Source organism: Homo sapiens, chromosome 10 (assembly GCF_000001405.40).
Source record: "Homo sapiens chromosome 10, GRCh38.p14 Primary Assembly".
Taxonomy (NCBI): Eukaryota; Metazoa; Chordata; class Mammalia; order Primates; family Hominidae; genus Homo; species Homo sapiens.
Window position 1 is genome coordinate 106,048,655 of NC_000010.11, and position 26,596 is coordinate 106,075,250.

At 35.9% G+C, this 26,596-nt stretch overlaps 1 long non-coding RNA gene across 1 annotated transcript; it reads right to left on the minus strand.

Annotated features, from left to right (window-relative positions):
• Window positions 1-22,547: 22,547 nt before the first annotated feature.
• On the minus strand, window positions 22,548-23,564 carry LOC124902553 (uncharacterized). Its single transcript, XR_007062380.1, has 2 exons — window positions 23,480-23,564; window positions 22,548-22,691 (listed from the first exon to the last, which is right to left on the minus strand). It is a non-coding gene; the product is annotated as an uncharacterized LOC124902553 (long non-coding RNA).
• Window positions 23,565-26,596: the final 3,032 nt, after the last annotated feature.

Genomic DNA, 26,596 nt, shown 5'->3' on the forward strand with positions numbered 1-26,596 from the left:
ATAGTTAAGTGCAGAGTTTATCATGAAAGAATCAGAGAGGCAAAAAATAAAAGGATAAAGTTGTCAAGAAAAACTGAGGGGAAAGAGCATTTTATAATAGCAGCACACTTTAAAACCAGAGTCCAATGTAGTCATTTGTTAAGTCTGAGATTTGATGTGAGAGTTAATGAATCACTTTATATACATACCTAGCACCTGACACTCTGCAGGATTTCAGCACAGGGCAGCCTTTTCTTCCTAAGTGGGTACTATTATGCCAAAAATGTAGAAAGAACCAAATTATGATCCTAAGCATAATATATAAGCTTATATGGTTACATTTCATTTAGTCTGATTTCTAAAAATTGAGGAATGGTCTCTGTTCTCCAAAAATGTCAGCTGATGTTGAAAATGGCTCTATTGAGGACACATCTTTCAGATCCAAAATAATAACACTTACTCTAGGATACATTTATCAAGGGTTTATGATATACTCAGCTTTTCACATCTATTAACTTTGTTTTTCCTCACATGTTAATTAGGTAGGGACTATTATATGGTCAATTTATGGATCAGGAATCTGAGATTAGAGAATTAAAGTGACTTGTCCAAAGATATAACTAGTAAACCTTAGAGCTGAGAGAGAAGATATGAGGCTTTCTGGCCTTTGAAAACTGCTCACTTCACCAGAAAAAGCAATGTACGTAAATGTCCATTTAAGTGGCCTTATATTTGGCTTCTAATATTGGTACAACCCAGCTATTCCCCCAAAAAATGTAGTATAGGAAAATGTTCTTCTAGCTAAACCATTCTGTAAAATGCCCACACACATTTTCAAGGACCTGTGATTTGTGTGCTCTGGAAATCAGACCCATATAACAAATTGTAGCTTCCAGTCTGCAGAAGAATGCCTGTGGAATGTTTTAATGCTTATGAAGAAAAAAATGTAGTCTTTCTTGGTAAAAGTAACCTAAAGCTCTAGGTGGCTGATAACATAGAGTGTAGCAGGGCACTCTGCGCTAAAGATACAAATGCTCTCCAGCCATTCTTTGAAATTGAGTTCCTTTCTAGTTTGGTAAAACTCTTTCCAGCAGGTTCAAGGCCTCAGCGAGTCTCACCGTGTTATGAAGAAGTACTAAAGGTTGTATTTAATAAGTCAACCTTCTCCCCTGAGCCTTAGTTATAACTTTTTAAAGAGTCTTGGAGGAACAGTTGAGCTTTTCCCAAATGGGGGAGTCTCAACTCATGTTTACCAAATAAAAAAGTGAAAGGAGCTAATTTTGCATTTCCATTCAAAGTTAGTGTGGTAGGGGAAGGTCCTCCCTCAGTCAGGTGGTATTTCCTATAATGGGTAGAATTACCCAGAGATACATAAAAAAAAAAAAAAATCAAATGTATCCATTGCCTGTGCTTTGACTTAGATTATCATAAAAATTAAGAATGCAATTGAACTTGTTGAGTCTTGGCATGAGATATCTACTTAATGCTTCATGATAAGTAACCACAATATAACAGTGCATAAAATAATAGGCATTTCTTTCTTAGTTTGATATCTGTGAATCATCTGGATTTTGGCTGACCTAGGTTAGGCTCAGCTCGACTTGGCCCCAGGTTCTGAGTTGAGTCCAATTCTGCTTCACATATCTTCATTCTCTTTGGACCCGCAGATACTCAAGGCATGTTCTTCTTATGGTGAAAATGTAGGAGTGAAAGACAGGGGTAGAGGAAAAGTATCATGTTTCTTAGGGCTCCCATTAAGAATTGTAAACTGTCACTTTTCCCTATGTTCCTTTACCTAAAGTCAGTCCTATTGCTAAGTTCAACATTTTTTGGATGGGGAAGCATAATCTTCCATTGATAGTTGAAGGGAAGGGTAAATATTTGCTCATTAATAATCTAACCTTTCACAGTCTCTAAGTTACTATTTTGAGTAATGCTCTATTGGCCTACCACCATTCAAACTTTAAGGATATAATTCACTTGTTTTTCTCCTCTTGTCAAATAAATGATTCAATGTATTCAGTAGAGTTTCACTATTTGGTCTTTCCATTCTCTAAGCATCATTATATATGTGACCACCACAGAGTCACAGCTATCAGTGACCTGGGAAAGGAAAAGTGAGTCACATAAATAGTAAACAAAGAACTAGTGTTTTGGAATCGCAGAATGCTAAATATTTTAAATAAAGAGCTTGTACTCAATAAATACTATAAAAGAGGAAACTGGAGAACAATAGAGTTTAATCCACTTATCCAAGTTACCCAGCTAGTTAATAGCATATCCATAACCCAGTTTATTATCTTCTCTACCATGCTACACTTCCATGGCCTTTTATAAACTTTCTAGTTAGTTTTACACACACACACACACACACACACACTTCAAGGTATTAGGAAGGAAGTAGATAAAACTGCTTCTGAATTGCAGTGATATTTTTTAGGATTGTATATTTTCTTTTCATTTATTTTTTAATTGTTTATATTTATGGTATTTATGGTATACGCCATGATGTTTTGTTATATGTATATATCATGAAATGGCTATATCAAGCTATTTAATGTTTGCATTGTTTCACACATAATTTTTTTGTGTGTGATAAGAACACAAAATCTCTTTTCACAGTCTTCATATACATTATACATTGGTATTAATTGTAGTCACCAAGATAAACAACACATCTCTTGAACTTATTTTTCCTTTCTAAAAAATTTGTGTCCTTTGACCAACATCTTTCCAATCTCCTTCCTTAAGCCAGCCTTTGGGAACCACCATTTTCCTCTCTCTTTGTATACTAACTTTTTTACACTTCACGTATAAATGAGATCATCTTCCTGTGGCTGGTTTATTTTGCTTACTATAGTGTCCTCTAGGTTCTTCCATGTTGTTGCAAATAATGGGATATTCTTTTTTTCTTTTTTAAGGGTAATATTCTATTGTGTATATATACCATATTTTCTTTTTTTTTTTTAAGTTCTGGGGTACATGTGCAGAATGTGCAGGTTTGTTACATACGTAGAAGTATGCCATGGTGGTTTGCTGCACCTATCAACCCATCACCTAGGTATTAAGCCCCGCATGCATTAGCCCTTTTCCCTAATGCTCCCCAACACCCTTTCCTGACAGGCCCAAGTGTGTGTTGTTGCCCTCCCTATGTCCATGTGTTTTCATTGTTCAGATCCCACTTATAAGTGAGAACATGCGGTGTTTGGTTTTCTGATCTTGTTTTAGTTTGCTAAGGATGATTGCTTCCAGCTGCATCGTATCTTTGCAAAGTACATGATCTCATTTCTTTTTATGGCTGCATAGTAATCCATGGCATATATGTACCACATTTTCTTTATCCAGTCTATCATTGATGGACATTTGGGTTCATTCCATGTCTTTGCTATTGTGAATAGTGTTGCAATGAATACATGCATGCACGTATCTTATACCACATTTTCTTGATCCATTCATCTGTCAATGGACACTAAACTTGAGTTCATATCTTGGCTGTTGTAAATAATGCTGCAATGAACATAGGAGAGCAAATATCTCTTCGACACACTGATCTCATATCCTTTGGATATATGCCCAGTAGTGGGATTGCTGGATCGCATGGTAATCTATTTCTAATTTTTTGAGGAACATTCATACTATTTTCCATAGTGGTTGCACCTTTTACAATCCCACTAACAGTGCATAAGGGTTCTAATTTCTCACATCCTCATCAACACTTGTTTTTTTTCATTTTAGTTAGTAGCCATCCTAACAGGTATGAGGTGATATCTCATTGTACTGAATTTACTCACCAAGATTCTGTATCTTCTGTAACTTATGTGTAGTCTGCATTAGTCTGGATTCTGTATTCTGCATTAGCCTGGATTAAATGGGAAGGCATATGGAAGCATATGAAAACTAAAAACAGAAATATCATCCTTATGATAGATAATGCTGTTTGTGAAATTTGGCTTAGGTCTGAGGGACAAATTGGCTTTCAAAAGCTTCTTCTCCTGTGCTTGATCCCCAACAGGTGGGGAACAGGCCACACCTCTTCCCCTATCTATCTTTGGGGCAACCCACCTCAGGAAAAATGTGAGTTCTTCAGAGCACTTCTCAAATCAGTATCCTTCAATGGCCCAGGTAAGAGGTGGAAGAAAAGAGACCAAATCTTCACGGTCTTATAAGAAATTCTCACTTCCCAACTGAGAAAAGTGTACCAGTATTAACCCACAATAGGTAGCCATGTGTGGAGAAGTGAGGTGGGAGTGAAATTCTAGGCCATGTGTGTTGCCTTTGGGGTATTCCTGCACATGGAAACATTAGTTCAGAGCATAAAAACACTCTCCCAACACTGGCTGAGAATTTTTCCTTTCACTGATTTTGCCTTTGAAGAATTTCAATGGAACATATGTGACTGTCAATGTTGAAATACAATAAAAGCCACTTGGTATCACTTAGGTGACTGTAGCACTGATTCCTATGCCATTTTGATTAGTAATGCATATTGATCTCCAGGACCAGGCTGAACACGGATCGAATGACATATGCACAATAGCACAGGACTGCGCTCATTTAGCAACAAATCGCCTTTGGAAAGTCCCTTTATGTTTATTCTCCTCATTTTGGTTCCATTTGATGCTTCCCTTTGTTGGCTGTCTTTTGATCACTGTAGGCAACAAAGCCCCAAGGGAGAGTCCTAAAGAGCTTTGTAAGGAGAGGATAGTTTTCTGAATACGGAAATTGGAGTGATACATCAGAAATTGTGGGTCCTCTGGATCAACCTGCTAGTAAATGGAGGCATTCCATTTGTCATCAGTGTGCGTTTAGTGCAGATACAGCATTCAAGGGGAAACAGAATCATTTGGCAGACCTCATGTATTTGTTTACTGATTTTATGTCTTCATTTTCTCTCTCTACTATCCCTTCTGGGGAAATCTGCTTATGAGCTTTCTTCTTCCAAGAACTAGAGTTAGATTCAGTGTACAAACTTGCAGGTACTGAAATCTTTTTCACTTACTTACATTTGAACAATTATATAAAATAATTAATGCTAAGGTATTGCTGCTCTAATGCAACTGGACAGGACCAATTAATTATTTTTCTCCCTAAAGTCAAAGATGTTATTGTTCAATAGAGAAATTTGATATTCAAAATTCTATTCCAATCCTGATGAAATTTCTCTCTTCTTCCCAAGCCTCAAATCTAGAAATTTCATGGTTTACTTCTGAATTTTAAGAAGACCAGAGGCCATATTGAGAAACTTTTCAGGCTGAAGGAGGAAAGCATCTAATTTTAGCCTCATGCTTGGCTGCCAAGGTGTTACTTTTAACATCTCCTGACATCTCATTAAAAGTCATTCCTTGGCATGGGCTTCAGTGCCCTTTATAACTAGGTTTTTTCCTTCCTTTTCGTACTCAATTTTTTCTATTCATTCAGTGGACAGACTTGCCACTCCCCAAACACAGCGGGTTACTTCACTTCCCAGTGTCTTTATGCATGTACTACTTTATCTCAGGAAAATCTGCATCTTCTTCGCTTTACCTGCCTCATGTCCACTTGGCAAACTCCTACATAATCTTAAATAACCTCAAACTCCTACATAATGTTAAATAACATAGCTCAGTGTTAATTTTCTTCTGCAATACACCCATTTTCCCTTATCTTCAGACACACTTGATTTATTCTATAGTTGGAGTTTCTGGGATTTATCATTTATTTTGATTATAATTTTTCTTATAGGAATTTTCACATGTCTAATTCTTTCATTAGACTGTGGGCTCTGCAAGGACAGAAACAATGTCGTAATCTCTTATCCTCAGAGCAAAGAAAAGCTACTGATGTACAAAATTTATTCAATATAGGTTTGTTGAATTAAATAGAACACAAAAGCAATAATGTCATATAAAAAGGATGCATGGACAGATGAATAATCACTGCTGAGATGCATAAATTTTTAAATCATAAGAGGGTCAGTCACTTCACAGAGGCTACTTGGCAAAGTACTATATCAATCAGGGTCCCATTTTCAATTGCATGGTGACAGGTTTACTTTCTGGCTATAAGGATATGAAATATGTTATATGTATAATTTATCGTGTTTCATAAAAAAAAAAAACTGAAGCCCAAATTCCCTGACAACAAGAGATACATTCACAGAGCATAAAATTGGCTAATATGAAAGATGCTTACAATGAAATATTTTAGTACAGATAATGTTATTGAGAAGTTCTTGTTTTTTTGAGAAATGCTAAAGCTAACATAAATACACTTTTAGATTTGCCCAAACTTTTAGAGGAGACACTGTGTGTTGCAATGAGGACTGGATAAAGAGCAACTGTACTGTACATCATGAAAATAAAATCCAAGTTTCCCTATGGCACACTCAAAATATCAAAGTTCCCATTGTCCAGAAGGGACAATTAGTAAATTTTTTTTCTCAAAGAGAAATAATAAGGAAACTGCATATATAAGTGTATCCATCTCTTACATGTTCCTCCCTTCCCTGAACCTCCAAGTCACCCACAGTCTCTCCTGTGAGTACAGTTTTGAGAGTTCTTGGTGGGCACTTGATTATGCAAGAGTTTTTCTCTTCCCCTCTGGCTACACTGCCTGGAATTTAGCTCCGTTTTGCTAGTTTATATATCAAGGTTTAAAAAATATTCAGCCACACATAAACACAATGATAATGTAAATTGTCAACTAATAACAACTCACACTCTTTCTCTACAATACTGTTGTTCAAATATATTAGTCAGGGTAAATTATTTTTAGTTTTTAAGAGTTCCTCTTCATCCCACTATTCTTCTAAAGATGGTATCTGGATGTTTGAGGGCAGGATGTATGGAGCTGCTTTACTTTAGAAACCAAATGAAGAGACCCATAAGCTCTCCTCTTCCTAGGTGTTGCTAGTCTAACCTGAGTTGTAGATGGATTTGCAAAGGGACAATTGGCCCTAACTATTTCTTTGGTGCATTGAACTAGAACCCATTGCTGAAGTTCATTGTCATGATCATGTCGACTCTCTCTGGGAAGATCCATGTTTATCTCAGACCTCTGTTGGTTCACCTGTGTTCTTAGTACTTCCCCAAACCTTCTCTTGGGCACCAAGTCATTTCTGGAAGCTTTATACACACATGGAGGCCACAGAAGACCAAGAGCTTGAATTCAGGGCTGTTGGCATAGAGCACTGTGCCTGTATACCCAAACACCACTCAAATCAGTGTCCTCAATAGAGATGCCCTCTGATTAGTCTATCAGGAAAATATTTAACATTTATGTAGATTAGTTACACAAATGCAGGTATATTCAACATTCCTCATTGGTAGATTTAAAAACTCATCATATCTCACCAGATATTCTCTTTCCATTCTGCTACCCCACTCAACAAACACTTTTAATGTTTCATGTTTTAAGAAGAAAGAGCTGTAACACAGAAGGACAAGGAAGAGCTGGAGAAATCTGATACCTCTATAGTGGAGTGTGATGATCTATCTTCAGAGGCATCATTTTAAAAGTTTGCCTGATGCAGGCGGAGCAGTGAGATTGGGAACAGGAGATGATTTTAATTGTCTACCATCATGCTGACATTCAGTTTCAATAGGGCAACTAATTAGCAAACTCTATTTGCAGAGGTGGAAAAGAACTACCATTAGTGACAGGAAAAACCCTAGTCTATTAAACACTTTCTGTGCACCAGTTCAAATCATCTAAAATTCCCCTCTTATTCCAGACATTATTTCTGCAACCAGTTTTATGCAGGATTTAATCAGATTTCTGCAGGTTAAAGACTACAGACTTCCAGAGTGTCTCACCTGGTGCCACTTCTGTGTGCCTCTTGTTTTCACCAATGGTTTCTTTGACACTGCACCGTGGGACTCTTATGAGAACTCTTCCAGTACTCAGATATATGTCACTCAAAAGCGTAAGAAAAATGGTAATTGTTGAGCCAATCTTTGACCAATGTAAACCAATGGATGAATGTTTCTCTCTCTTGTTCCCTGAGTGGAAAGTTCCAAAACGTATTTTATAAACCTGTTCAGAATGTTTTGTAAGAAGAAGCGACAGTTGCCCATAGTAGTAACAAATGGAGTAACACATTTTTATCTTGGCTTTCCATCTTTCCAGTGTAACTTCTGTCTCTTGCTCCTGCTACCCAGTATCAATCCCTCCTCCTCCAAGGAGAAAACATACTTGCCTGTAAATCTCTGGCTCAGGCTTGGCTTTGGGGGAATCTGGAGGTAAAACACCTATGTAAGAGTTGACATGAAATAACTTTTTATTCTTTTAACTTTTTTATTCTTTGTTTTTACATCTTGTGAGATGCTTCCCTTGAACCTGCTATTAACCTGTTCAGGGAGATTTTCTTTCTCCTCCCTCCCTCCCTTCCAGCCTTCCTTCCTTACTTCCTCTCTTTCCTCCCTTTCTCTCTTTTCTTTCCTTCTCTCTTTTCTTTTCTTTCTTTCTTTCTTTCTTTCCTTCTTTCTTTCTTTCTTTCTTTCTTTCTTTCTTTCTTTCTTTCTTTTCTTTCCCTTCCTTCCTTCCCTCCCTCCCTTCCTCCTTCCTTCCTTCCTTTTTCCTTTCCTTTCCTTTTCCTTTCCCTTTCCCCTTCTTTATTTCTTTTCTTTTCTAGCTTTTTCCTCTCTCTCTTTCTTCCCCTGAAAATTAGACCTCCCACAAAAGTTTTACATAGGAGTGCACTTATTAAAGATGTTAGTCACTGAGATAACATTGACAACTATCCCCTTTCTTCCCCAGAACTGGAACTTACTCAGGTTGCCATAGGGGTCTGAGATACTCTTGTACTGAGATTAGAATCTGCCGCAGAATGGGTTATGGAAATCTATTCAGATGAGAAATTATTATCCTCATCATGGTGTTTCCAGTTATGGAGCCATCAAAATTGCTTTTATTTGGATGATTTTTGAAATAGTTTAATAGTTATATTCTATATCTTAGGATTCTTATATTTGAAATAAATATGCAGTCACCTATATCCTTATTCTTGGTGAGGCTGTATTTAATGTATTTTAGATATTTAAGGTGAAATTGAGAGATCTCCTAAAGTGATGACTTCAAACTTTCTTGTTAAATTGAGCATAAGATAAATTACATTGATTTAATGAAAATGTTTTTATAGAAAGACATGAATATTGAGCTTGGTGCTAATATAGCAGCAATTGTGTTTTCATTGTCACTGTCATCTGCATTTTAAAAAAATTACCTGAAGGGTGAGGAAGAGGCAAGTACTCCACCATCCACAACCAGGGGGCACCCAGTGTCCTTTCTTTAGGGGGCTGAGATAAGGCATACTGTTTAAATACTGAGCTCCCCCTAACCTTAAAAAAATATGTTATTTGCTAATGTTTTGGGTTCTGGTTCAAATAGGCCAATTTTAACATAATAGATGAGAATGGAGCTTTTGTGTCAAGGCATAAAATTGTGTAATTGGGAATATTAAGGTGGGTTGAAGAACAAAGTTTTCAGGGAATGACTTTTTAGTTAGGAGTTGGGGATTGAAGAGAGTGAGCTAGGATGACTGGGACCCTGCAAAGGTTCGATTAGATAATCCAGAATAGAACCACTGTGGGGGCTGGATTTTGGTGCAGGCTGGAAGGAACACCACTTTTAAATGAACAAGGCCCAGTAACGTGAAATGGAGATGGAGGATCTCCATTCTTATTGATAACATTATATGAAATTGATGTTTAATATAAATACTGAAATTAATGTGACAGAACTGATGCTGTTTTCCCAACAATCTACTTCATGTCAAGAACTGTGCTAGGCACTGTAAACATAGCATCGCTGATGCTCTTAACAATGCTGTCTTACTTTATAAATGAGAACATTCAGGCCTAAGAAAGCCTTCTGACCCCCAGCTAGTAAGTACTACTGCTATTAACTGAAAGCAAATTCCTTTTGAGTTAAAGTCCATACTTTTTATACTATGTCACAGTAGATTTCCTATTCATATGGACGGCATAGAACAGGGATCTTAAATAATGGACTATTAAAGAAAGATATTAAGAAGAGCATAAAAAAGGTATGTATCAGTCAAGAACATTGGGATATATTGCTGGAGAACATTTTATTGAGAATTATTACTAGGCTCAGGCATCTTAAGAAACTCTGAATAGAACAAAATAGTACCAGAATAGATAGCATTATCAATGAGAAAAAAAAACATAAAATCATATGTGGTTATTATCAATGGCTACTTATTGCATCTTCAATTAAGGTGGCCTTATTAGGCTAAAAGGTAGTGTAATTTGGTATTATAAAATGTATAAGCATCTTAGAGCTGTCGGTTTCTTACCATGACGGAGGAACTGATACCAGACTAGCCCTGCCACTGTAAACAAAAATAAATTGGATGATATATATGAGGCTTACTCTAATGACTCCTTTTCAATATTTAACTGGAAACCTCAGCCATTTTAGTAGGGTAAGAAAAAAATAGTAAATGGCATAATGAGTAGAAAGTAAGAACTTGTAAAAGTCTGTAGGTATAGATAATATGAATTTATGCATAGAAAATTTTAGAAAATATAAAAACCTATGAGAACCAATAAATGATTTAGCCAAGTTGCAGGATATAAAATCATTATAAAAATTAATTGTATTTTTATATATTAACAGTAAATGATTAGCACATAATTCTTAAAATATTAAAAGTTAAAAAGTGAAATCAATAAAACAAACTATTTAGGTATAAATTTAATCAAAGATGGGCAAACTACAAAAGAATAATGATAAAAGTTAAAGGAAACTAAATAAATGAAGTGATACATAAGTTCATGGACAGAAAAACAATGGGGTTATGATTTTCATTCTCTCTAAATTAATCTATAATTTCAACACAGTCCCATACGTAATTAGAGCAGATTTTTTTAAGAAATTGACAAGTTGTTCCTAATATTCATATGAAAATTCAAAGGACCTTGAGTAGCCAAAATAATTTAGAAAATAAAGGACAAATTTGGAGGAGGTACACTACTGATTATATGTCTTACTGCAAAGCTACAATAATAAACATAAAGTAGTACTGAAATAAGGAATCTAGAAATAGGCCTACACATATATGGTCAAGGTAATTGAATAGGGAAATATACCATTTTCATAAATAGTCCTGGACTACTGACTATCCACACCAGAAGAAAGAGGCAAACCCTCCACTTCTAATTCATAGCATATGCAAAAATATTTGAAGTGCATCATAAACTTCAATATAAAATATAAAACATATAGGAGAACATAAAAGAACATCTCTGTAATCAAACTGAAATGATGTTTAAATGTAGAAAATGTTCTTTTTGTTTTTTTCTAGTAAATAGAAGTAGTAAAAAGTTTTAGATAATATAATTTGCTTCTAAGTAAAATTTCAAAAACGTACTTTCCTTCTCTAAGATAATTCAGTTGCTACAAGACAAAGAGGAAGAGAAGTGGTTTTGCATTACAATGCCCATAATTTTCTGGTGTAAATGCAATATATTTTACTCTCATTCTGACTTCACCTCTATCTAACTGTGACTTTGGATAAATTACTTAAACCCTCTCAGATTCAGCTTCCCAATTCTAAACATGGATACAGTATTATCTAACTCTTTATGAGTTTGGATAAGATAACATATGTAAAACCTGTAGAATAGTGCCTGGACATGTTGACATATGGTATATACTCAGTGCTGCTGCTATAGTTTTACTGACGATTATGCTAATATTAGTTATCATTCCATTATTTCATTACATGAAAGGCTATATTATATTGTGATTAACAGCACATTCTCTAAAGCCAGAATATCTGTGTTCAAATCCCAGGTTTGCCAGTTATTAGCTATGTGACTTTAGACAAGCCACTTTGTCTGTTTATGTCTCAGTTTCTTCATGGGTTAAATGGGAATAATGATCATGAGGTATGAAAGCTTTTAAGAGCTCAAAATAAGTTCACATTTAAAAAGTATATAAGAAAAACTTTCTGACATTGTAAGTGCTATAAGGTTTGCCACTATTATTCTCATTCTCGTAACATCACTGTCTTCTCTGTAACTGAAGATTAATTCTGAAAGAGGGAGACATTCCACTGCCACCAACGGCATGTCCCTTCCCCATATGTGTGCTGTTTTGGAGGGGATTATGTAAATTGATATATTTTTCTGGAATAGGTTAAGAATTTGACACTCTGAACTCTTGCCCTAGAGCTAACTTTAACTGCTTTAATCATCTTTAATCAATAACATACAACCAAAGGAAATTTTCATAAGTCATTAAGGTAAGCCATTTGTTGACACTTGTTGACTCAGGGAATCAGTGACATTATATTCACCAGCTTGTTCACCTTTTCCTGTTGAACATTTTCTTAGGGTGGGTTCCCTGGAAATAGACCCTGGGTATGAATTCCATGTAAGTGAAATGTTAAGAAACAGTTCCCAGCCTGGCAACAGAGTGAGACTCCGTCAAAAACAAACAAACAAAACAAAACAAAAAAGAAACAGTTCCCAGGAGAAAAGAGTAAGAGAGAAAGAAGTAGAATAGGAAAAATGAAGAAGCCAAGCAAATGTATGATTTCAGGCAATAGTCCACTTTAGAATTTGTCCCTGCCTTAAGCAAGGTATCTGGGGTCTCATGACTCTGGTAGTTCTTATACCAGAATGTAAGCCAAATAAGCACAGAGAATATATCGGTCTCATTCATCTCTGCACTCCCTGTGAATGACATACTGCCTGCCTAATGAATGTTTTTTAAATAGCTTCAAAAAAAGAAATTTGCTCTAAAATACTAAAACACTTATATTAATTGGATACGTAACGACTTGTAGAGTTTTCTGAATGAATCTCTCCATTTGGTAAGACAAAGCTTGAGGAGGCATTAAACATATCCATGGTCAGATATCTATATAGCCCCAGGAATCTTTAGCTGGCTTTGAACAAGTTCTCTCTTGGAATACACAAGTTTCTACCTATTCCACAGATTACTCTAAGGGAGTAAGGAAGGTTTAGAGAAAGGGAATATAACAACTAAACAAGAATTAAAAAAGAAGACAGGGCCAGGAGTGGTGGCTCACGCCTGTAATCCCAACATTTTGCAGGGCCAAGGCAGACAGATTACCTGAGGTCAGGAGTTCAAGACCAGCCTGACCAACATGGCGAAACCCCATCTACTAAATATACAAAAATTAGCTGGACACAGTAGCACATGCCTGTAGTCTCAGCTACTCAGGAGGCTGAGGCAGGAGAATCGCATGAACCTGGGAGGTGGGGGTTGCAGTGAGCCTAGCAGGCCACTGCACTCCTCCAGCCTGGGCAACAGAGCAAGACTCCATCTCAAAAATAAAAGACAAATGAAATGGGGAAACTAAAAGGAGAAAAACAAAAGGCAAAAAAAAATCACATCTCTATAATCTTCAACATCAAAATAATAATTCACATTTATTGAGTGCTTACCCTCTGCTACATGTTTTTATTTTTAAAAATTTGACAGATAACATTGTATGTATTTACATATTTTAATGAAAATTTACATACAATGTAGAACATAATCATGTACAACTTAATGTTTCCAGTGTATATATACATTGTGGAATAGTTAACGCTACTAAATTAAGAAATGCATTACCTCACACAGCTATCATTTGTGTGGTGAGAACACTCAACATTCACTTTCTTTGCTGTCTCTTAAACTTATTCCTCCTATCTAACTGTAATTGTGTATCTTTTGACCAACTTCTACCCATCTCTCCCCACTCCCTGCCCCAGCCTCTGATAGGCACTCTTGTATTCTCTCTTTCTGCAAGATCAACTTGTTTTAGATTCCACATATGAGTGAAATAATATAGAACCAAAGGAAATTAAGATCATGTGTTTTCTTTCTGGGCCTTGCTTATTTCACTTAACATAATGTCTTCCAGGTTCATCTATGTTGTTGCAAATGGTAGAATTTCCTTCTTTGTTTGGCTGAATACTATCCCATTGTGTGTGTATATATTTGTATAACATTTTCTTCATCCATTGAATCATTTAGGTTGATTCCATATCTTGGCTATTGTGAATAATGCTGCAACAAACATGGGAGTGCAGATATCTCTTCAACATACTGATTTCATTTTCTTTGGATGTATATACCTGTTAATGGAAATGTTGAACTATATGATAGTTCTATTTTTAATTTTTTGAGGAACCACCATATTGTTTTCCATAATGGCTGCACTAATTTACGTGTTTTTTAAATATTTTAATCAGAGATTATTTTGAATCCACTCCATGATGTTAATAAGTATGGACTATTATTATTTATATTATAAATATGTGAAAACTGAGAAAATTGCTCAAATCATATTGTTTCAAGCAATAGAGTTTGGCTTTGAACCCATGAGGTTTGATGGTAGATCTTAACAGAATTTAACATTGCACTTTGCTGTTTTTTTTTTTACTTTCTGTCTTGCAAAGAGCTTTCATGTACATTTTCTAATGCATTCAAATTTTACTCTTTACAGATAAGGCAAACAAAGCTAAATGAGGCAAGTTAATTAGCCCAAAGTCACAAACCTAGTAAATGATAAGCCTCAATATCAATCCAAGTATTTGTATGTCACAGCTCCCATTCTTTCTAGTTTATGGAAAGAAGTTAGAGAGAAAGAGAGGAAAAAAAGCCCCTTCTCCTCCCTGCGCTCAAATGTCAATGAACCTCACCATGTGTTACACAGAGGCAATGGTCCCTTCCCCAAGGAAATTAGCTCCAAAGCTCCAAAGCTTTTCCTCCATGCAGTGACCAGTATAAGGTGATATTCTTGGGGATTAAAAGACTTTCTGGCTTTTTCTTTTAGTACTTAGTATAGTGATTTTTTTTCGGGTTGAAATAAAAATGGTTGGCATGGATTCATAAACTCTGTTAAAAGTTATTTCTGCTTGCACTGCATCCTAGATATTGGTACAAGGATTTTTTTCAGAGGTATTGAAATAGCCTTTTGAGTATAATGCCTATTGTGTCTTAATCACAAGTCGCAGTTCATCCACAGTCCTATTTGCTAGGAAACTGTAAAGATGAAATTTTCACCACCGTATCATTCTCTATAAATGTAATCAAATCAAATGCACTGGGATTTCTGTCACTTTGGACAAGAAAGAACAGAAATCCCCTTAATTTTTCAGTTTCTTTATTTAGTCTTCTTTCTCTCTGAGATTTAGGTCATTTTGTGGGATTCGGAAAAAAATGTAATTGTTTCAAGTATAATGACAGCTATTAAATCCAATGAGCTACCTTGTTACTAGAGTGGAAGTTGCTTCTGCCTGTAGTATTTGGAGAAGCTTTAAATTTGTAAATCTATTTTGCAGCTTCTCCAAATATTACAGGCAGAAGCAACTTCCACTCTAGTAACAGATTTCTCATACAAACTAAGTTTAATATGAGATCTAAAGGAAATGAGGCTTCATAGTACACTTTTGTGTTATAGCATGACACACCAGCTAATGTACACACACAAATCCAATGGGTTCCCCTTTTTTATCTAGACAGAGGCCGTTGTCTTAGAAACCAAACCACGGTTTTGTTAGGTTTCAGTGGTTGCATTTTCCTGTACATTTAAGTCCATTTTCATAATGCTTTGAATCTATATAAGAAAACCTGATCAAGCTCTCAAATTTCAGTGCTAGTCTGTGTTCATAGGTACATTGAAGCTTCCATGAATACTCAATTTATTCCTGACAGGAGATTTATTCAGTGTCGTCAACTAAAACCAAAGACATTTTGCCAGCCTTACCCAATTGCATCAGTAATACTCCATGCACTGAACAAATCTATTTTCTGATTTTGTAGAAAGGCATATGTCACTTAGAGACAAAAATTCATAAAACGCTCAACTTTCTGAATCCAATTCAGTGTTTCCTTAAATTGCATTTGGGGCAGTCTCATGAGGAATGCATAAGTGTAAAAACAGCCTTTGGAAATAGGCAGGGATTTTAGGTGCCCTTTCTATCATTATGTTCTTTCTGTAATTATTTCCTTGGATTTTTTTTCCCATTTCTATTCCCTGAATAATGTCTCCCAATTTGGAATTCCGGAAGAATATGCGTGCATAGCTGGTGACTCTCAAAAGTGCAGTCTTTAAACAAGATCAAGTTATAGATTGTTAGAGTTTGATAGTGCCCTGGAGCCTACTTGATCCATCCGTGCCGTCTCTTAGATGGGGAAACAAAGTTCTGGAGAATTAGGGAGAGTCATCTAACCAACACTGCAAAGATAAAAGCAGAGCTGATATACAAATCAGAGTAGCACCCTAATAAATATAATGATGTTAAAGGTAATATTTGCCAGGGACTATGATAACCATGTTAAATGTAAAATCATTAAATGCTGTAGTCCGGCTTTGTTAGTACTATTGTTATTTCATTTTAAATATAACAATAACCATACGAGATAGACACTATAAATGTACCATGTGTACAGATGCAAAATAAAATTCTGGAACTTAGTTATGAGATGTGTCTGAAGCCACAAAAGTAGAGTGATGGGGCAGGCAGTGAAGCTCCAGCTGCATTCTTCCAAAGTCTGAGCCCTTCATCACTACACCTGCTTCCTCCTTCTCTGCTCTATTTTTTCTTTCCCTTCGTTTCCCCATTAAAGACCTCAAAAACATTTTCCAAAAACCGTTACTGAGCAATGGCAAAGTCAAGCCTGATTATTTTCCTCAGCTTTGTTCCCTCCCTCTTTGCTCCCTATCTGCATTGAATAACTCTTCAAAATGCAGGATGTTTTCTGAATGAACTCACAGTTGGTCAACATTATACTGTGCGGGATGGGAGTCTCCTGCCTTCCTCTAGGGCCCACCAAGTACCTTGTTGCCTTATAAGCTAGTCCAGACTTGGTCCAAAGACCCCTAGAAATCCTGTAAAGCTCATAATGTCACAACAAACTAAATTTAGGAATAAACCAGGACAAGGAGCTTGGTGGCATCACAGCAAACTCACCCTCATGCCTAGAGAATAAGCAATATTGAATAACTTCCTAGTTAATATGAGGATAGATTTTCTTGGCTGGAATTGAGCTTAACTTCTTTTATATCCTGTTTGCTTCCCTGTTTTGCCTAATTCACAGTACAGGAAAGCCTAGGGGCACTGAGATGCTGAAATAAATGTAACCTTTTTCTGTTGGTTCAATTTGTCAGAGTTAGACTGTATCTGGTTTGTGGTATTGGCAATGTGGAAGGTAGCATTACAGAGAAACCAGTATTTACTGAATTTACAAAATGAAGAATAAAAACTGAATTAGTTGAGTTTTTCATATCTTAATTTAAATAATGCATGTGAGGATAAAAAGGCATACCTATATTTATTCTTTGAAAAGATGAATATTTTAAAAATTTTAAATCATACAGGATGATGACTTTATCTTTCAAGGTTTTCTACTTCTGACTATATGAAAAGAAATACACATTTTTTTCCCTTTCAAATTACAGGGGATAAACTTCTCCCTGTCAGTGTGAATCATGCAAAAGCTCAGTGCTAGTCTCTTAGAAGTAATTAATCTTTGACATTCTCTTTTGAAAATTCACAATATTTCAGATTTATGATTCCACATGGATCTCTACAGTAGGTTACAGAAAAGAAAGCCTATTTTTTATGTTTGACACCAAAAATTCATCTGCCCAACAAATGTTGACTTCTATAATATTGTGAGGTTGCTGAGTGTGCTAATTCCTACTCCTATGAGACTTTTGATCTCATAAGCTGAATCAAATAGCTCACATTAGCTTCAGATAAAGTGTTGAAACTTGTACCAACCTCCCCAGATTCCCAAGGCCTGTCCATCATTAGTTTTAAAGCACCCATCACTTACAGTGAATTGGGTTCATTTAAAGGGTAAATGCATTTGTTATCATGCACATTTTACCCAGTGAAGTCAGAGGGGAGTTTTACTTCAAATATGTGTAAAGTCACTAAGTTTTCAACAATCATGATATGAACTATGAAAGAAATGAAATATGCAGGACCCATAGACAGGGTGTATTAATTTTGCCTCGCTTTTTATTGTTGTAAGTGTTTCCCTGGGGGATTTTAGTTTTCTCTATCTAATGTAGGAGATCAATCAGCTTCATCAAAAGTGGTGTAAAACTACTGTGCAAAACTTTATTTTTATGTCTCTTTAAATGAAGCTTGATCCAAATGCTAATGCTGAAGTCATTTTGATACGTACAAATCTATTATCAGCTAAGAGCCACCCATGTCCCTCACCCTTTATGTAGATGATCTAGATTGTAAGATAAGTGTGATTCTGTCACTATTGTCCTAGTCATGACTGAATCAACCCTTTAAGTATCTATAAGGGCTCTCGTAGCACATTTAAAGTAAACAGGAATGCCTCAGTAATATAAATTATGATTATGGTAAAAAAAAATGCTTAATATATAAAAGTTCTCTGTCTCTATCTGCTGAAAGAGAACTTAAAATGTAAAATAATAATTTAAGATGATTTTCTGGATAGGCAACAAATGCAAAAATAGATAAGTGGGATTACCTTAAACTAAAAAGCCTCTGCAGAACAAAGGAAACCATCAACAAAATGAAAAGATAACCTACAGAATAGGAGAAAATATTTGTATACAATACACCTGATAAGGGGTTAACAACTCAATAGCAAGAAATCAAATTAATCAATTAAAAATGAGCAAAGGCCTTGAATAGACATTTTTCAAAAGAAGACATACAAATGGCCAAAGGTATGTGAAAAAATATTCAACATCACTAATCATTAGGGAGATGCAAATCAAAACCACAATGAGGTATCATTTCACTCCTATTAGGATGGCTATTATAAAAAAGGCAAGAGATAAGTGTTGGGGAGGATGTGGAGAAATGACAACACTTAGACACTATTGGTAGGAATTTAAATGAATAAAGCTATTCTGAAAAACAGTATGAAAGTTTCACAAAAAATTAAAAATAGAACTGCCTACCATATGATCCAGCAATGCTGGGTGTATATCCAAAGGAAATGAAATCAGTATGTTGAAGAGATATCTGCACTCTTACGTTTATTGCAGTGCTATTCAGAATAGCCAAGATATGGATTCAACTAAAGAGTCCATCAATGGATGAATGGATAAAGAAAATGTAGTATATAATCATAGTGGAATAATATTTAACCATAAAAAGAATGAAATTCTGTTGTTTGCAACAACTTGAATAAATCTGCAGAATATTATGAAAAGCTAAATAAGCAAGGCACAGAAATACATATACTGCATGATCTCACTCATACGTGGAATCTTAAAAGTTGATGTCATAGAAATGGACAATACAGTGGTGGCTTACCAGAGACTGGGTGGTTAGCAGGGATGGGAGGTAGGGGTGATGTTGGTCAAAAATACATATTAATAGTTAGATAGGAGAAATAAGTTCAAGAGATCTGTGCTGACTGTAGTTAATGTTGACATATTGTATTCTTGTAAAATGCTAAGACGATGGATGTTAAGTGTCTCATAACAAAAATGGTAACCATGGGAGGTGATGCATTTGTTAATTAGCTAGGGTTAACCATTCCACAATGTATATATACTTATAAACATCATGTTGCATATGATGAATACATAATAATTTTATATGTCAACTTGAAAACTAAGTAAATATTAATAAGACAGTCTTCAAAGTAATAGAGAATTGGAGTACACAAAAAGATGAATCTATAAGGGAGAGAAAGAAGATAAATTACCTGACTGTGCTTTTCATATCTTTTCTCATGTAAGCCATCTAGGAGCAGCAAGCCTTTACTCTCCTCATTTTGTTGGAAGGCCCAGTGCCTCTCCTACCCTTTCCTCAGCCCCCTGTTCTGTCCATAATGTCATCACACCATGCTGCAATATGCACTTGTCTATCTTCCCAAACAGATTTCCTGAGAGACTAGAGTTTATTCAACTCTGGATCTCCAGAGTGTAGAATAATATTTAGCATGGAGTATAAACTTGGTAAATATTGGGAAGAAGGGCAGAAAAAGGAAGATAAAATAAAGGATATAGGAAAGAAAAATAAAGAAGAAAAGAGAGAGGAAGGTCATGGATCATTTATTTAAAAAACAAATTCTAGTTTTTCAGAAGAAAATTAAAAACACCAAAGTACATTGTTATAGTAAACTGATTTGAGAAGGATTATTTAATACCTAAAGACACATTTTCATGATCACAGAATAAAAGATTCAGGCTGACTCGACTTTCTTTTTAAAAAATTTAAGTTCTGGGATATATGTGCAGGATGTGCAGGTTTGTTACATAGGTAATTGGGTTCCATGGTGGTTTGCTGCACCTATCAACTCATCACCTAGGTATTAAGCCCTGCATGTATTGGCTATTTGCCTGATGCTCTCTGTTCACACACCACTCACCCCCTGCATGGCAGGCACCAGTGTGTGTTGTTCCCCTCCCTGTGTCCATGTGTTCCCATTGTTCAGCTCCCACTTATAAGTGAGATCATGTGGTGTTTGGTTTTCTGTTTCTGTGTTAATTTGCTGAGGATAATGGCTTCCAGCTTCATCCGTGTCCCTGCAAAGAACATGATCTCATTCCTTTTTATGGCTGCATAGTATTCCATGTTGCATATGAGCTACATTTTCTTTATCCAGTCTATTACTGATGGGCATTTGGGTTGATTCCATGTCTTTTCTGTTGTGAATAGTGCTGCAGTGAACATACATGTGCATGTATCTTTATAACAGAATGATTATATCCCTTGGGTGTACACCCAGTAATGGGATTGCTCAGTCAAATGGTATTTCTTGTTCTAGGTCTTTGAGGAATAGCAACACTATCTTCCACAATGGTTGAACTAATTTACTTTCCTATCAACAGTGTAAAAGCATTTCTATTTCTCCACAGCCTCGGCAGCATCTGTTGTTTCTTGACTTTTTAATAATCATCATTCTGACTGGCATCAGATGGTATCTCATTGTGGTTTTGATAAGCATTTCTCTAATGATCAGTGATGTTGAGCTTTTCTTCATATATTATGCTTTGAGAAGTGTCTGTTCATGTCCTTTGCCCACTTTTTAATAGGACTGTTTGGTTTTTTCTTGTAAATTTGTTTATGTTCCTTGTAGATTTTGGACATTTAGACTTTTGTTAGATGGATAGATTGCAAACATTTTCTCCTATTCTGTAATATGTCTGCTCCCTCCGATGATAGTTTATTTTGCTGTGCAGAAGCTCCTTAGTTTAATTAGATCTCATTTGTCAATTTTTGCTTTTGTTGTAATTGCTTTTGATGTTTTCATCATGAAATTTTTGCCTGTGCCTATGTCCTGAATACTACTGCCTAGATTTTCTTCTAGGGTTTTTAGAGTTTTGAATTTTACATTTAAGTCTTTAATTGATCTTGAGTTATTTTTGGTATAAGGTACAAGGAAGGGGTCCAGTTTCAATTTTCTGCATATGGCTAGCCAGTTTTTCCAGCACCGTTTATTAAATAGGGAATCCTTTCTCCATTGCTTGATTTTTTTGTTTGTTGTTTTTTTTTTTTTTTTTTGGTCAGGTTTGTTGAAGATCAGATGATTGTAGATGTGCAGTCTTACTTCTGAGATCTGTATTCTGTTACATTGGTCTATGTGTCTGTTTTTGTACCAGTACTATCCTGCCTTGGTTACTGTAGCCTTGTAGTATAGTTTTAAGTCAGGTAGCATGATGTCTACAGCTTTGTTTTTTATGCTTAAGATTGTCTGGGCGATACAGACTCTTTTTTGGGTTCCATATGAATTTTAAAGTAGTTTTTTTCTAATTCTGTGAAGAATGTCAGTGGTAGTTTAAGGGAAATAGCATTGAATCTATAAATTATTTGGAAAGTACGGCCTTTTTCATGGTATTGATTATTCCTATCCATGAGCCTGGAATGTTTTTCCATTTGCTTGTATCCTCTCTGACTTCCTTAAGCAGTGGTTTGTAGTTCCCCTTGAATAGGTCCTTCACTTTTCTTGTTACTTGTATTCCTAGGTATTTTATTCTCTTTGTGCAATTGTGAATGGGGGTTCATTCATGATTTGGCCCTCTGCTTGTCTATTGTTGATGTATAGGAATGCTTATGATTTTTGCACATTAATTTTGTATCCTGAAACTTTGCTGAAGTTGCTAATCAGCTTAAGAAAATTTGGGGTTGAAATGGAGTTTTCACTTATATAATTACACAATATTTCATGATCAATGTAAGAAAACAGAAAATATGATGGGCAAACAGAAGAAAAACAATACTCACAGGCTCAGAACAGTAACAAAGTCACTCTTAATGTTTTGCTGCAGAACTTTCCAGATGTTTGTTTCTCTGCATATATAAACGTGTTTATTCAGAAAATTTTAAAGAATATCATATATTTCATATATTTTTGAAACAACTTTTTTCGGTTAATAATACACTTATCAAGAAAAATAAACCTCTGACTTCTAATAATAGTGGAATAGCTCTATCACTCTAAGACTTATGCAGGTAACAATTATATAATGTAGCAAAACATTCATAGGACTATTTTTGCAGGCACTGGAGAATAGCAAGTATTAGAAACTGGAGTGAAGACTACCTGTCTTAGTCTGCTTCAGCTACCATAACAAAATCCCAAAGACTGAGTGGCTTAAAAATAGACTTTTATTTCTCACAGTGCTGGAGGCTGAGAAGCCCAAGTTCAAGGTGGATTTTATTCTGAGGCTTCTTCTTTTGGCTTGTAGATGGCCACCGTCTTGCTGTGTGTTCACATGATCTCTTCTTTGTGCACTTTGGAGAAGAAAGTTAGCTCTGATAAAAAAGTTGCCTCTTCTTATAAAGACACTCATTACCTCACAAGGGTTCCACTTTCATGAGCCCATCTAAACATAATTGCTTCCCAAAGCCCCTTCCCCCAAATAGCATCACATTGGGATTTGGGGCTCCAACATATATATTTTGCGGAAATAGTAGAAACATTCAATCCACAGCACTATCCCTGCAAGACAGGATTGTACCTGGTAAGACAGTTCTGAAAATGTATGTGGCTCAGGGCAGCTACTGGCCTGAGGTTTCACAGGACAGAGTTCAGTGATAAAAGCTGGCAGACAAAAGTTAGTGGAGAAATCCAGGAAAAAGGGGTAACACAGAAGGAATGTATATAAAATCTGCTCAAATTGGACAGCTGAGCAACACAGGTGTCAGCAAGACCCCAGTAGGTCAATTGAGAAAAGCTATGTGGAGATTTTAGTGGCAGCCCACAGACCAGGAGATAGAGTATGAAGTTAAAGTTCAGTCACATCAATTTCCTTCTAGAACAAAAACCACTCTTCAAAGGAATCTAACAGTAGCCAGAGTCTCTGGAGCTGCAGTGGCTTCATACAAATCAATTTAACTAAGCTGAGATTACATTTTCAGAATTCCCTTCGCTTTGTGGCTCTGAGTTAGCGTTGGCCACAAGAGCAATGTGCATGGAATTTGGAAGGCATGAGTGAAGGAGTAGATGTGTTTTATGCTATGAAGGTCACTAAAGGCAGATACTATTACAGATCACACATTTTCACTAATCTACTGCTTACCTTGTAAAGTGAGGCAGTTGATAGGCCCACAGTTCAACCAGCTTCCACTCTATTTTGTTAGCTTATCTGAATCCCAGGACAATGTGTGTGAATCTCTGTGGTGAAGGGCACCTGTTTATAGAAGGTGAGAAACAGATACAGCTCTCATGGTTTCAGACTTGTTCCTGAATCTGTCACTTTGTGTCTATCTTCCTGTCCTGATTACTAGCCTTGCTGACTTCAGTTCCATAGAAAACAGACTTAAATTGCTTAATCAACTACCACAGTGGAGTTAGGTTTAAACTCTTTAATTATCTAGTTCCTCATTGACAAAATAGGAGAATTGTGTCTATGCTGATTTATAGGGTTGTTGTAAGAATACAATTAAAGTAAACTGTTTCCAATTATGCGGCATGCTTTCCTAGGTACTTTTGCAGCTACACTTTTATCACCCATATTCTAATTACAGTGGAACACTCACCATTACCTGCATATAGATTGAACTACCGTTTCTTATGCCTTTGACATTCCAAGATATGAGAGATGGCATTCCAGGCAGGTAGAGAGGGCTAATCAATGAGCCCTTTTAAAGTTGATTTCAAATACCAAACTTTTCGGAGATATTTCCTTGAATGCCTCTTGTTCATAATCAATCATTTATTTTCACGTAACTGCCTAGGATTCTTGTCAAAACGTCAAATTAGGCATCTCATACAAGACTAACTACCATGAAAAGCCTATTTTGAGTCTGCCTTTGCTACTAGATTGTGTGCTTCTTGAAGACAAAGACTTCAATCCCTCTTGCTCACTGCATGGTCTAGCACAGTATCTTTATAATCACTGGCACTCAAGATGTGTATCTTGGCTTGAACTGAGCCAATTACAAGCACAGAATTGTTTTGAATATATAAGACACACTTAAAAGCAAGCCTCGTATTTTGAAATCTTTTACTTTGTTGTTAGTTTTGCCAATTATGCGGGATATATCAATGTAATGATTTTTAATAAGATTCCTGATGAAACTATTTGACAGTAAAATTGGGGCAGTCAAATAACAAATGTTTTATGCCTCAAGACTGAAAAACATGAATATTTATATTACAAGAAGGAAATTGTATAGAAATTGTTAGACGAAGGACCACAATTTATATCGACTTACGTGGAAACTTGAGTTCCTTCCATTCTCTGACAAAGACAACCTTCATTATAGGAACTTGAATTGTTAAATCTGAATTCTTGACAACCCAATCAATTTTCCTTTGTTAAGAAGCAGATAGGCACTCCCACCTTGACTGGATATTATCATCACTATAATCTGCATGAACCCCTCCAAAAAGCCATTCTATGTTCCCTCTCATTCATCTTAGTAGAATCAGAATTTAAGGGGGGTGTGTGTGTGTGTGGGTGTATGCGTGTGTGTGTGTGTGTGTGTGTGTGTAACATTAAGCACCTATTACATCAGCCAATTCCTCTAGTAGATTTGTGATGTTGACAGGATTGTTCTATAATCTTTATCATACAAATAGTAAGCTAAGGCTCCTACTGTTGTTCTCTGCTGCTTGCAGTGAGTTTTGCCTTACATTGTAATTCAGAAAGCGGTAACAGTGGTAAAACTTAAAGTTTAAAAAAGTACTTAAAGACACCCTCTTATTGTCTTGTGCTCAATCTGAAGAAGCCCTTAATGCACTCAATAACAACATGATTGTACATAAATTTGGTATCCACAGATTTTCCTGAAAGCCTGAAAAAGTCACCTTGCACTCCATCTCTCTTTTTTCTTAATCTGTCAACCCAGATGCAGGGAAAGTGTTCATTAATTACTGTTTTTAATGCACAAACATGAAATCAGTGAAAGACATTTTGCCTTTCTGCAAATGTAGAAACTAATCATCCTCCACTTCTTACACATTTTAGAGTATAACTAACTGTAAGGCAAGATGCAGCCCTTTTTTCCATCACTTGCCTAAGCTGCGTTTACTCCGCCAATAAATTTAAATATGCTCAGTTTTCAGTTACAGTAGATTCACCATGGTACCACTGCAACTGGAAATAAATACTTTCATTTCAGCAAATTCTAGAAAAGAGTAGTTTATTATACCATGCAAGTACACTTTTGACACAACCTTAACTATGCCATTAGGAGAGACATGATAATAACCCACCCACAAGAGGATTCTTTTAAGCAAGGAGCCTGTGCATAATGGGTAGAGGAATGAAGAGGCCTGAAAGCAAAAGCAGAGTTTGAATCAAATGGAACTAAGTAAACAATTTGGGGCAATGTAAAATAAAAGCAATTTAAAACAAGAGCTTTAACTGAATTTTACAGAAGCAAACTGAATAAAGTAGTTAGGAAAATGGATATGGTGTTTAGCAAAGAAAAAAAAAAGATACTGGCACAGATAAATTAGGCTTGTCACATGTAGTTTCAATTTTTGATGTCTTGCTTAAAGAGATGAGCTACACTTTGTTTTCTTCACAAGTTCAGGAATAAGCAGACTAGTGTCTTGATTTTATTTGCCTAAATAGTTTGGTCATTAAAGGAAGCAGGTATCTTTTAAATACATCTGCAGAGTGATAGTGGAAAGTATTTAAAACATTAGAGAACAATCTTTAGCATGTAATAAGACCTCTAAAGTTTAAAGTAGTAATTCTCTCTATTCCCCTGTGCTGGCATTGCCCTTCTAAATCTGCAGTACCAGAACTGGCAATATTTGAACGTTAATGTAAGATAAACCAACAAGAGACTGATTTTGATCAGTTTATCTTTGATTGAGAATGAAATGTGAAATCAGTGGGTTTGTCCCTACGTGGCCCAGAAGCTCTTCATCCATCAAGAATGTGTTTATTTTACTTATGTCTTATTCCTTTTAATTGTCTTGCCCAAAATAATTTTTGAATATTACTTGTGTAAGAGTTGGGTACAATAGGTACCATGGGATCTTATAGAACCATTTATCTCATATATGTGATTTCATTTATGGGAAGGAGGAAGGAGAGAGAGAAAAGTGACAGGGAGAGAGAGAGAGAAAGAAAGAGTTTTTCAATAGTTTAGAAGACACTTTCTACTGCTTCCCCCAGTGAGTATCTGAGTTGGAGCAGTGGTTATCCACGTGCTGTGTCTTCTGCTGATCAGCAGCA